This window comes from Homo sapiens, chromosome 1, assembly GCF_000001405.40.
Source record: "Homo sapiens chromosome 1, GRCh38.p14 Primary Assembly".
In the NCBI taxonomy this organism is placed as follows: domain Eukaryota; kingdom Metazoa; phylum Chordata; class Mammalia; order Primates; family Hominidae; genus Homo; species Homo sapiens.
Window position 1 is genome coordinate 168,140,636 of NC_000001.11, and position 14,120 is coordinate 168,154,755.

A 14,120-nucleotide genomic window follows, 5' to 3' on the forward strand; every position below is an offset into this window, starting at 1 on the left:
TATGGGACTGAGCCCTTAATCTGTGGAGTCTGAACTATCTCAGGCAGTTAGTGTCGGAATTGAATTGAATTGTTGGATACCCAATTGGTGTCAGAGAATTGATTGATGTTGGAAAAAATTCCACATATTTTGTATCGGGGGAAAAAAGTATCCTCAAGTACATTTATCTTTTGATCTATTAAAAAAATCCTCAAGTACACATTTATCTTCTGTTGCCAATAAAAAGCAACATTATATATTTGGGATACATTTGTAATTACAGAAGATTAAAAATGCCCAAATGTCTGTCAGTAGGGGATTAGAGGAATAAGTTAGGATTCAGTGCTACAAATGAATGAAGAAAATCTCTATACACTAACATGTAGTGGCCTCAAAGACGTATTGTTAAGTGGAAAAAAGCAAGGTGCAGGAATATTTGCTATACATTATCTTTTTTTTTTTTTTGAGACATGGTCTCACTTTGTTGCCCAGACTGGAGTACAGTGACGCGATCTCAGATCACTGCAACCTCTGTCTCCCAGACTCAAGCGATTCCCCTGCCTCAGTCACCCGAGTCGCTGGGATTACAGGCGCGCCCCACTACCACCAGGCTAATTTTTTATTTTTAGTAGAGACGGGGTTTCACCATGTTGGCCAGGCTGGTCTTGAACTCCTGACTTCAAATGATCCACCCTCCTTGGCCTCCCAAAGTGCTGGGATTACAGGTGTGAGCCACCACGCCCAGCCTATGTTATCTTTTATGTGAGAAAAGGAAAGAAAATAAATATATAGGTATTTGCTTATACTTAAAAGTGGAAAAACAAACCAAAAACAATAAAAAGAAGGTTTCCAATAAGGGAAAGGAACAAACAGAAGGAATGAAAAAGAAAGCAAGGTTTCTAGGAAGGTTCCTTGCTGTATGGCTTTGAAACTAAGTACATATTTTACAAATTTGAGAAAAGTTAACTCAAAAAAGAAAAAACCTCCAAAAACTGAAGAAAAACTAGGATGAATATCAAGTTGGTGGCATATGAACTTTTATTAGTTTTCTGTCACTGCATAATGATTACCACAAATTTAGCAGCTTAAAACACTCTATTATGTTGTCTGGGCTGGTCTTGAACTCCTGGCCTCAAGCAATCCCCTTACCTTAGCTTCTCGAGTCACTGGGATTACAGGTGTGACCCACCACACCTGGCAAAACACTCATTTTTTTTTAATCTCACAGTTTAGAGAGAAGTCCAGGCAGGCTCAGTTGGGTTTTCTGCTCATGTGAATGCCAAAATGAAGGTGCTGGCTAATCTGAGCTCTTATATGGAGGCTTTTGCGGGGACTCTGCTTCCAAGCTTGTTCAGGCTGCCAGCAGAATTTAGTTTCTTGCCACTGTGGGATGGAAACCCCCATTTCTTTGCTGGCTGGCAGTGGGGCCACCCTCTGCTCCCAGAGGCTGCCTGCAATTCTTCCTCATGTGGTCCCCTTATCTTCAAAGTCAGCAAAGGCATGTCAAATCCTTCTCATACCCTGACCTTTCTGGCTTCCTCTTAATTCCCCTTTCAGCCAGAGAGAGCTCTTTGTTTTTAAGGATTCATGTGATACATCAGGTCTACATTCCCTGTCGTAAGGTCAACTGTATCAAACAACAAAATCCTAGGAATGATATCTCATTATATTCAAAGGTCCTGGGGATTAGGAAAGGGCATCTTTGTCAAGCTATCTTCCAATTCTGCCACAACAATATAAAGAATTTCAGGGCCAGGCACAATGGATCGTGCCTATAATCCCAGCACTTTGGGAGGCTGAGGTGGGAGGATAATTTGAGCCCAGGAGTTCAAGACCAGCTTAGCCAAAATAGCAAGACCTTGTCTCTAAAGAAAAAGAAAAATCATTTTTAAAGAAGTTTTTAAAAAACAAATTTTTGGGCCGCGTGCGGTGGCTCATGCCTGTAATCCCAGCACTTTGGGAGGCCAAGGTGGGCAGATCACCTGAAGTCAGGTGTTCGAGATCAGCCTGGCCAACATGGCGAAACCCCATCTCTACTAAAAAAAAAAATACAAAAATTAGCTAGGCATGGTGGCTCATGCCTGTAGTCCCAGTTACTTGGGAGGCTGAGGTAGGAGAATTGCTTGAACCCAGGAGATGGAGGTTGCAGTGAGCTGAGATCCTGCCACTGCACTCCAGCCTGGGCAACAGAGTGAGACTCCGGCTCAAAACAAAAATTTCAAGTGAGTTTAGAATATAATATTTTGATGGCACTTTCCTAGTGGGATATGTTCTTAGGACAAAAAGAATCTCAAAAAAAAAACAAAACTCAATCTCACTCAGTTCTCTTATGTCAGTGGTACTCTGGTATTGTTGTCTGAAACAATTAAGATACATAGAAAAAGGCCGGGCGTGGTGGCTCATGCCTGTAATCCCAGCACTTTGGGAGGCCGAGGCAGGCGGATCTTGAGGTCAGGAGATCGAGACCATCCTGGCTAACACAGTGAAACCCCGTCTCTACTAAAAATACAAAAAAAAATTAGCCGGGTGTGGTGGCGGGCACCTGTAGTCTCAGCTACTCCGGAGGCTGAGCCAGGAGAATGGCGTGAACCCAGGCAGCGGAGCTTGCAGTGAGCCGAGATCGTGCAACTGCACTCCAGCCTGGGAGAAAGAGCGAGACTCCGTCTCAAAAAAAGAAAAAAATACACACACACATAGAAAAAAGCAAATAAGTAATTACCTTTATGTTGTGGGACCTGTGATTTTTCGCAAGGAAAAAAATATAAAAGTGTATAGGTAAGTAAAAACCTACCTGCAAAGAATAATTTGCGTTTGCCAACCCTAACCACTCAAAAGGCAAGAAGAAATGAGAACACAGAAGGAGTGAGCACTCCTGTAGCAATGAACACTGCTAGCAAGCAGACGTAGTCTTAAAATACCACTTCTCATTAAGAGGAACTAAGGCTCCTTGCAGAAATGGCTTATTCCAGGTCTGAACTTTATATGCTTTTTTTTAAAAAAAAAAAACAAAACATATAAAATGAATCTGGAATATCTTTGTGTACCAGAAAAGAGATTTCAAAGACCAATGGGGTCATTTTGAAAAGATACAAGAGCTGATCTGAAGGGACAATTTGAACATCAAAAAGAATAAGAAGCCAGGCACAGTGGTTCATGCCTGTAATCCCAGTACTTTGGAAGGCTGAAGTAGAAGAATTGAGGCCAGGAGTTCAAGAGCAGCCTGGGCAATATAGTGAGACCACATCTCTAAAAAAAAGAAGAGTTGCAATGGATTGGAACATACCTGCTAAAGCTTGAATGTTTGAATCCTCCAAAACTCATGTTGAAACTTAATTCCTAATGTAACAGTATTAAGAGGTGAGGCCTTTAAGGGGTGATTGTGCCATAAGGACTCTGCCCGCATGAATGGATTAACTCATTAATGGATTAATGGATTAATAGATTAATAGGTTATCATGGGAGTGGGTTAGTTATAACAAAAATGGGTCTGTTAAAGAAGCCAGGTCTGCAATGGCTCTCTCTCATGCACCCTCCTCATCATGTGATGCCCTGTGCCACCTCAGTACTCTGCAGAGAGCCCCCGCCAGCAAGAATGCCTTCAGCAAGATGCAGCCTCTTGGCCTTGGATGTCCCAGCCTCCATAACTGTAAGAAATCAATTCACTATCTTTATAAGTTACCCAGGCTCAGGTATTAAGTTATAGTAACAGAAAACTGACTAAGATAATATCCACATAGAAAAATCTTTGAGTTTATAGTTGAAAAAATTGGTCACCATTGGTGATTGCTAGGCAACCAATTCATTCCTCTGAAAAATTAGTAAATAAAAGGAAGGAATCAAACATTTATTCCACTTTTCCTATACGAATTGCATTCAGTGTGACCAAAGAGTAGTTAGGGAAAGTTCTTTTTAATAGAAAAATTCCAACAAATAAATGCACAAAGAAGAACAGAATTTTAAAATCACCATTTTGCAACCCTTAATGAAATAACTATTGCAGGCAATGGTGATCAATGTATACTAAAACCATTAAGTGAATAGTTGATGGAGAACCGATCAATCTTAGTATCACACAAGAACGGAATGTAATGGGAAGTATTCAGCACCATCTAGGAAGTATTCTTAAATAAATCTTGCAATGGTGGATGAATGTTGAGCAGAAAAGAAAGTCAAAAAATGTCTATGTTAAACTTTAAGCAACAATTCCTGACTTAGTTGACCACTAGCTAAGAGAATGACCCAATGGAATAGGAGACAGATTGAGAAATGTTACCATCACTTTCCTGCCCACCTTATGATTTCACCCTGAGCAGGCTTTCTCTCCACTATTGTCAGTTTGCTACTGTGCTAATTTTGAGTTGTCTTTTAGCCATTGACGTTGACCAGCAATGGAATCTAAGTCCAGGATACATGGAAAGTATACTGTCATGAAAAACGGAGTTTTTGAAAATGAGTACACTGCAAGCTGGGGAAAATCCTTTTTTTTTTTTTCTGTAAAAACTGAACCACCTGAGAAGGCATAGGTGTACTTATTTTTCTACACACTTAATTTGTTCAGTTTTAGAACTCAAGATCCTTTATTATTGTTAGTGTATTAAATTCATACCTTTCTGTTCTTACTGCCATTGCCTTTTTTTTTAAAATCACGTCATGCATTTGAAGGAGGGATTGTGGTGTAAACATCAGTCCATGGGTTGAGTCCAAAGACCTGGATTCTGATCCTGACTGTGCCCAGGCTTGTTGATGGTTGTGACCCCACAGTGAGATGCGGATTAAGGGTCAGATACTCCAAGGGAAGGGGCTGAAGAGACCAAACTTCCTGTGTGGACGGTCACGGAGTCCTCTGAGAGGGCTAAAGAAACACCCCCAGGCTGGTGCAGGAAGCCTGGGAGATCTTCCCTTTGGACCAGTGGATGGAGTCAGAGATCAGGATGGTTGCAGAGGAAAAGCTTCCCAGGGTGGAGGGGCAGGGGCTGGGAGAATGACCCCAAGGTCATGTAAAGAGAGGTGATGCTGGCTAAACAACTAAGTTTTGAGAGGCAGCGAGGCTCCTTCTAACCCTGGTATCACGGTCAATTTAATTTTATCTGTGCCTTGTGCTTCCTCTAATGAGGAAAGAGAGGAACGAAGGCTGTGCCCAGTTAGCTGTGTCAGTCAAGACAACCAGGAGTAGATTTTAGTCACCTTAAGGTCGAAAACTATGTTTGTTATTTGGAGCTTCTTTTCTTTAGTTCGCTTTATTTTCCCCTGGTTTATTTGAGAATTTTCTTTTGAAACTACCCATGAGACTCATTTCTACTAGGAACGTTAGAAAAGTAAAAAGACATTCTTTTCCTCTCCCCTTAGGCCGGGGAGGCAGAGGGCCCCTAGTGGCCAATGGTGGAACTGCAGCAGCCCAGTCCCAAGACCAGGTGGACCTGGCTGCTGGTTGGTGAACAAGAGCCTCTCAGAGAGCGAAAGGGCCTCCACCGACTCTGACAGCCTCGGTGAGGGGTGGGAAGGGGTGGGAAGGGGTGGGGAAGGACGGGGAGGGGTGGGGAGGGACGGGGAGGGGTGGGGAGGGACGGGGAGGGGTGGGGAGGGGAGGGGCGGGGAAGGGTGGGGGGGTGGGGGGTTTGGGGGAGAGGAAGGGACAGGAAGAAGTGGGAGGAGAAGAGGGAAGTGGGGAGAGAAAAGGACAGAAAAGAGAAGAAAAAAGGAGAAATGCCAATAGAGGCTTCTAAAACATTCAATATTTACTTCTAGCAAATAAATTTACTTCTGGCAAATAAATACTTTTAATAATCTCCAGTACAATGCAGTAATTTCTTTACGCAGAAAAATTAGAATCATTGAAGTATTTTGATATAAACAATAGTATTTTTACAGAAAAATAATACAGGATTACTGAAAAAATTGCTCCAATTTCCGTTTGAATGGTGGCCGTATGTCACACATAAGGTATAGTTTTAACAGAATTTAAAATGTTCCATCCCAGATGGTAATGCTTTTCCATATAATTGCGCTAACAACAAAAAATTAACTATTATCAGTGGGGTGGATGGGTAATGAGGCGTACATTTAAGGTTGAATGAGTAATATTTTCTCTCCTCAGTCCTGTCTGGGTGTCTTGCTGATAACGTTATTTGGAGATAAGATAAAAAGTTTAAATTTAAGCTCTCTTTGGAAAAGGGAATCCACATCAAACAGCTCTCCTGATCCCTGCCCTTTATTCCTCCCTGTTGATAAACCCTACAGTGAAGTGAACCTGTGACTCCCAAACCCTATTACCTATTAGAACTACACGTAGAAGCCGGGTGCGGTGGCTCTCGCCTGTAATCCCAGCACTTTGGAATGCCGAGGCGGGCGGATCACCTGAGCTCAGGAGTTGAAGACCAGCCTGACAATATGGCGAAACTCCGTCCCTACTAAAAATACAAAATTAGCGGGGCATGGTGGCATGCGCCTGTAGTCCCAGCTACTTGGGAGGCTGAGGCAGGAGAATCACTTGAACCTGGGAGGCGGAGGTTGCAGTGAGCCGAGATTGTGCCATTGCACTCCAGCCTGGGCAACAAGAGAGACTCAAAAAATAAAAATAAAAAAACATGTAGAGGCCGGGCGCAGTGGCTCACGCCTGTAATCCCAGCACTTTGCGAGTGCGAGGCCACGACGGGTGGATCACTTGAGGTCAGGAGTTCGAGACCAGCCTGGCCAACATGGTGAAAACCTGTCTCTACTAAAGATACAAAAACTAGTTGGGTGTGGTGGTGGGAGCCTATAATCCTAGCTACTCAGAAGGCTGAGGCAAGAGAATTGCTTGAAACTGGGAGGCTAGAGGTTGCAGTGAGCCGAGATCAAACCACTGCACGTTAGCCTGGGCGACAGAGCGAGACTCAATCTCAAAAAAACCATACCAAACAAAACAACTACATGTAGAGCTTTGAAACTATCCATATTCCTGGTTCTCTTCCAACACCTCTAGATGGATGTTTCCGGAGGTGAATTGTCCTCAGATTAGCATTTGGAACTAGGACGCTGCACTCTCCTACACCGTTAATAAAAGTATATATTTGCATGAACATGACAATTGGCAATATCTATTAAATTACAACAAATATGTACCCTTCGACCCAGAAATTCTAATCCTGGGACTCTATCCCATAGAAATAAAAGCACCAGGGCCGGGCGCGGTGGCTCATGCCTGTAATCCCAGCACTTTGGGAGGCCGAGGCGGGTGGATCACGAGGTCAGGAGATCGAGACCATCCTGGCTAACACGGTGAAACCTCGTCTCTACTAAAAATACAAAAAAAATTAGCTGGGCGTGGTGGCGGGCGCCTGTAGTCCTCAGGAGGCTGAGGCAGGAGAATGGCGCGAACCTGGGAGGCGGAGCTTGCAGTGAGCCGAGATTGCGCCACTGCACTCCAGCCTGGGCTACAGAGCGAGACCCCGTCTCAAAAAACAAAAACAACCAAAAAAATAATAATAAAAATAAAAAAAAAAGAAAGAAAAGCACCAGTACAGAAAAATATATGAGACCTGGCACGGTGGCTCACACCTGTAATCCCAGCACTTTGGGAGGCCAAGGCAGGTGGGTCACTTGAGATCAGGAGTTCGAGACCAGCCTGGGCAACATAGTGAAACCTCATTTCTATCAAAAATACAAAAATTAGCCAGGTGTGGTAGTGCATGCCTGTGGTCCAGCTACTTGGGAGGCTGAGGTGGGAGAATGGCTTGAGCCTGGGAGGTCGAGGCTGCAGTGAGCCGTAAATGTCCATCTATAGAGGAAAGATTGAATAAACTGTAGAATAACCACACAGTAGATTGTATTATTAAACAAGAAAGAGTTGAAGTGATATCAATTGACCTGGAAGGATTTTTACAATGTATATTGTTAAGAAAGTACAGCAATAACTTAAGACATGTCTTTTGTAAGAGTATATAAGTGTATCAAACTATGTATTGTAAGAAATATAGGAAACAAATAATGGCCAATTTCTCAATACTTGTGCTATTGTATGATTGTGTGACCATGAAGAAATGTATGGGAAAATACACACTAGACTCTAATTGTTTCTGTTTATGGGGAGGTGTGGGCACAAAGAGAGGGCAAGGATGTTGTAAGGAAAAGAGTACCAAGACTATAGAAACATAATGATGTGTGTATGAAATAAAAATATGTAAATATGATATATTTACATATAATATATACAATATATAGAATATATTAAAATAATGAGACTGTGACATAGTATAATATAATAGCAATTTAAAATGTGGACTATAAATTCTACCTCATATTGTGGTAAATATGTAAAAATTAAGTGTGCAAATGGAAAGTTCTAGAAGGTGACAAAGACGAGTAAAAATTCATTTCATTTTTTATGATACTAAGAGTAAATTTCTTTTTAGATGTGTTACTTAATACGGAATCTGTAATTATGTAGAGTGTTTTGCTTTCGATTTTTGTCTGAAGAGAAAGGAAAAAAGAAACTGCTGCTCTGGACTCTAGTGGGGAAGCATTACTTCCCTTATATGGTGTAGTGAAAAGAACTCAGATGTTCCAGCCAGATGCTCTTGAGCTTGAGTTTTGATTCTATTACTTGTGATATTAAGTAAGATATTTGACCCCTCTAAGCTCTGGTTTCTCCAGCTCTAAAATAGGGATGGTAATTGTACCTACCTCATCGGTAAAGGGCTTGCTACAGCCCCTGCCATGCAGCAGACTCCTAAGAAAAGTTATCTATTTGTGGTAGATTAATATATTGTGGTGTTTATATATATAGATAGATAGATATTTGTATATATATTTATATATCTATATATCTATATATACATCTATATATCTATATGTGTGTGTGTGTGTATATATATATATATATATATATAGGTTTTACTGCTGTGGAATTATCCAAAAGAAAAAAAAAAGAGCCATCTGTATTGTGCTCTCAGTATTTTCTCTCCTTTTTTCCAAAAGGCAAGCAAGGTTTTGTACTCCTAAGTTTTGAGGGAGATTTGTATTGTTTGGTGGGAGAGGGTGAGGAGAGGAGAGGTGGGACACAGGCAAAATCAGAGACACTGAAAGTTCTTCACAATGAGAAGGGAAAACCATGGCTGGCAGAGACTTTCCTCCTGCCTCTCCTAAATCCTGGAGAGAGGGCAGGACCTCAGAGGAGGAATGGAAACTCCCAGGAGGCTGGGCACAGGCCGCGGGGCTTCATAGGTAGGAGTTGTGGGCCTCTCAGAGGTGAACATGTAGGCCGAGAGCAGAAAGGCCTCCTCGAGCATTTTTCTCCCCGAAAATCTAGATTCATCCCTAGAACCTTTGCATTATCCTAAGGGTAGGGGTGGACAGGGATGGTGTGAGGTATCCTTATTCTATTTGTCTGGGATTTGAGTTTGAATTTAATCTGATTTAAAGGAAATACATTAAAAGGCTGGGTGGTGCAGCTCATGCCTGTAATCCCAGCACTTTGGGAGGCCCAGGTGAAAAGATCGCTTGAATCCAGGGGTTCAAGACAAGCCTGGGCCACATAGGGAGACCTTGTCTCTACAAAAAATTAAAAAATTAGCCAGGCATAGTGGTGTATGTCTGTTGTCCCAGACACCTGGGAGGTGGGAGGATGGCTTGAGCCTGAGAGGTCAAGGCTGCAGTGAGCTGTGATCATACCACTGCACTATAGCCTAGGTGATGGAGTAAGACCCTGTCTCACTAGGAAGAAAGGAAGGAAGGAGAGGAGGAAGTAAGAAATACATAGGAATATTTTATGTGGTCGCAAATACCTGTGACATTTTAATTCTCTTTCTTATTCATTTGATTGCTGTGTGATACTGGGGGAACAGGGCTATTTAACTCTCTCAGCCTCAGCTTCCTCATCTGTTGAATGGGCAGTAATAACACACAGCTCACAAAGCTGTGACCTGTGAAGATTTAATGAGTGTGTGTCTGTAACAGTGTCTATGACTGTCTATAGCTGACCATTGGTATGGTCCCTCTTCTCATTCCCTTGGGCAGTCCTAGTTCTTGGCCTCTGCACATGATGCTTCAGCACCTGGAATAGTTGTTACCACCTCTGCTATTTGAATCCAACTTCGTCCTTGAAGTCCTAACACAAGCACTGTCCATTTTCTTCCTTTCCTGACCACTAGGCAATGTTCCTTTCTTTGAACTCCTGAAGCATTTGCCTTGCTCATTCCTTGTTCACACACCTGACATTTCTGAAGCACCTTCTGAGTGGCAGGCACTGTGACGGAAATAGACAAAGTCTTTGCCCTCATGGAGCTCACATAAGCAGATTGTATCTGTCTTTTTATTTTATTTTTTATTTATTTATGTATTTTCTTTTTTTGAGGTGGAGTCTCATTCTGTCGCCCAGGCTGGAGTGCAGTGGCACAATCTTCTCTCACTGCAACCTCTGCCTCTTGGGTTCAAGAGATTCTCCTGCCTCGGCCTCCTGAGTAGCTGGGATTACAGGTGAGGGCCACCATGCCTGGCTAATTATTATTAATTTTTTTTGTATTTTTAGTAGAGATGGAGTTTCACCATGTTGCCCAGGCTGGTCTCAACTCCTGACCTCAGGTGATCTGCCCACCTCGGCCTCCCAAAGTTCTGAGATTACAGGCGTGAGCCACTGTACCCGGCCCCATGCCTTTTTATACATAAATGTATCCTTTCCCAAATACACGAGCTGCTTCCTAAGGGGAGAAATGTCTTTTACCTCTATTATCTAGAGCAGCGCCTAGAATGCAGAAGATATGTAGTAGATGTTCTCTTGGATAAGATGAGTCTTTAATCAAAATATTCCCCCTTCTGCTTACTTACAGGCCTACAACCCCCCTTATTTACTGCAATTAACTCTTAACGTGGCTGTTCCTGGATGTTACAATCCATATCTTCTGTCTCCATCCCCAGTGCAGCACAACCAGACTCATACATGTTGGAATACACAGACTAATACAATCTTTGCAAGATTGCTGATTGAGGATTCCAGGATGAAGTTCACGTCCTGGTCCCTCATTCTTTACCTACTGTCACCTGAGGTGACCCCAGAGTTACTCTTGTATTTTTAGCACAACAAAGAGCTGAAATCACTAGGTATTTCTAGAGCTCTGTGTCAGAGGTCTAGTAATGGTGTATCTTTTCCACATCTGCAATAATTGAGTTCCCCACTCAGAAAACAGAGCTGCATGTTTGAATACTTTTAACCATTATAATAACTGATATTTGTACAGCAATTAATGGTTTATAGAAGGACTTCACAGGTATGAGCAAGCCAAGGCAAGTAATATGCAAGTAATATCATTACTGTTACTTTTACTCTTATGTTACGTAAACAACTTTTTAAAAAATTACCTGAAGTTGAACAGTCACGATGCAACAGATCAGGAAACTAACAAATCTACTGACTGCAAATCTTGTATTCTTCACATTATACCACGCGGTGGTTTTTATTGTTGTCTTTTGTTTTTTTTTTTAATATAACTTCCCCTGAAGTCAGCCTATGCTAGCCCGCAAAGATTTTATTAGTGTTTGGGGAGGAAAGAGTCTTATACACTCAGTCACATCTTAACAAACCCAGTTATGGCCAAACTTAAGTAACCACCCTTGGTTTCAAACAACCTGCCATTTATTTAGGGAGGAACCACTACAACTCCCAGATGGTTTAACATCAGATGTGCTTTTCAGGAGAAAAAAAAAAAAAGATATTTCTTAGGGGAGTAATTAATAGGAAAGAGATTAGGCAAGTTAATGTGATATTGCAATTGAGTTGATTTGCCTTAATTAGGAAATATTTATTAAACTAAATTATGGTTATGCAGAAATCAATTAGCTCCAGCTCTGTTAGGAAAAGAGAATTGTTTCATGTTGATGTAATAACAAAGTCCAATATAACTTGGGACCCTTTTATTTTTTGTTCTGCAACTTAAGACAGCTAATATATTTCCCTGAAACCCTCTGAATATTTGCAATGGCTGGCTACTATTTCTCTTTTACTAGTTAGTCTTACTTCCAAATCATGCCATAAGTGAGAGCAGGCAACATTTAAGAAAATAAATTTGTCACGCCTGTAATCCCAGCACTTCGGGAGGCTGAGGCGGTTGGATCATGAGGTCAGGCGATCGAGACCATCCTGGCTAACACGGTGAAACCCCGTCTCTACTAAAAATACAAAAAATTAGCCGGGCCTGGTGGCGGGCGTCTGTAGTCCCAGCTACTCCGGAGGCTGAGGCAGGAGAATGGCATAAACCCGGGAGCGGAGCCTGCAGTGAGCCGAGATTGCGCCCCTGCACTCCAGCCAGGGCGACAGACCTAGACTCCATCTCAAAAAAAAAGGAAAGAAAATAAATTTGGATACAATGAACTTCTGCTCTTCTCTCAGCTCCACAAATCCTAAGTCATCTACACCCTCTTTCCCTACCCCCTTACCCTGCAGAAATATTCATACGCTCATCCTTGATTATGCCTCCCTCCTTTTTGAATTCCCCAAAGTCTAAATTATCTCACTCTCTTTCTACTCCTTCCCTCCCTTTCCCCAGGAACCTGGCATCTCCTGATATATTTTATGTGAATATTTGGGGATGAAACAGTAGTGGGATAGAGATACTCAAGGAGAAGTTAAAAGTAGTTCTTTGGGCTGGTCGCAGTGGCTCATGCCTGTAATCCCAGCACTTTGGGAGGCCGAGGCGGGCGGATCATGAGGTCAGGAGATCGAGACCATCCTGGCTAACACGGTGAAAACCCATCTCTACTAAAAATACAAAAAATTAGCGGGGCGTGGTGGCGGGCGCCTGTAGTCCCAGCTACTCCGGAGCCTGAGGCAGGAGAATGGCATGAATCCGGAGGCGGAGCTTGCAGTGAGCTGAGATTGCACCACTGCACTCCGGCCTGGGCTATAGAGCCAGACTCCGTCTCAAAAAAAAAAAAAAAAAGTAGTTATTTGTCCCCACTTAGCTCTTTGGTTGTAAGAAACAAACTCACTGAAGTTTTCTCAAGTTCTGAGAGGCTTGATGTAAGGATACACAAAAGAATAAGATAAGGCCGGGAGCAGTGGCTCACGCCTGTAATCGCAGCACTTTGGGAAGCTGGGGCGGGCGAATCACCTGAGGTCAAGAATTCAAGACCAGCCTGGTCAACATGATGAAACCCCATCTCCACTAAAAATACAAAAATTAGCCGGGCGTGGTGGTGCACACCTGTAATCCCAGCTACTCGGGAGGCTGAGACAGAATCGCTTGAACCCAGGAGGTCGAGGTTGCAGTGAGCCGAGATTGTGACACTGCACACCAGCATGGGTGACAGAGCAAGACTGTCTCAAAAAAAAAAAAAAAAAAAAAGTAAGGTAAGAGCAGTCTCAGCTTAGCGTCTAAGCTTCCCTTGTTTCCCCACGACTGAGTCTCTGTTTTCAGTAATGGAGCCCTCTTTTCTCCATGTCTGATGCTTTGGTGCACAATAATTTTCCATGGATGAGATTCTGCCTTCCTCCCTTTACTGTTGTTGAACTAGAGCTCTACTCTTGGTCCTCAGATCTGTGACTGTCTCCCTCCTGTGCTAGACCTTTAGCCTGAATTGCCTCTTCACATTGTGCTCCCACTCAGAACAGGAGCCTCTCTGCTTGCCTAGTGTTGGACTTCTCCTGAGGGGGTCTGTCTGTTACCCTGGGCATTCTCCCACCAAGCACCTCTAGAATCCATCCCAATGCCTGCCCGGACCCTGTGGGTCTGTTTAATTTCCAGCCTGGCCTTTCCTACCATTAATCAAGCTCTAGATCGTCTGTACAATCCCTTGAATAGTTTATTGATTGGCCATTGTGTCATTTGCATCCCCAGTCAGGCTCTGGGGACATAGATATGAGTAAAAAAAGGTCCTTGCTCTTTTAAAAAAATTTATCTATTTAATTTTTAATTGACAAATGTACATATTTATGGGGTACATAGTGATGTTTTGATACATATAATGTATAGTGATCAGATCAAGGTTATTAGCATATCCATCATCTCAAACATTTATTTATCATTTCTTCATGTTGGGAACATTCAATATCCTCCTTTTAGTTATTTGAAACTATATAATATATTGTTGTTAACTGTAGTCATCCTACAGTGCTATAGTACATGTATTAGTCCATTCTCAGACTGCTATGAAGAAATACCTAAGACAGGGTA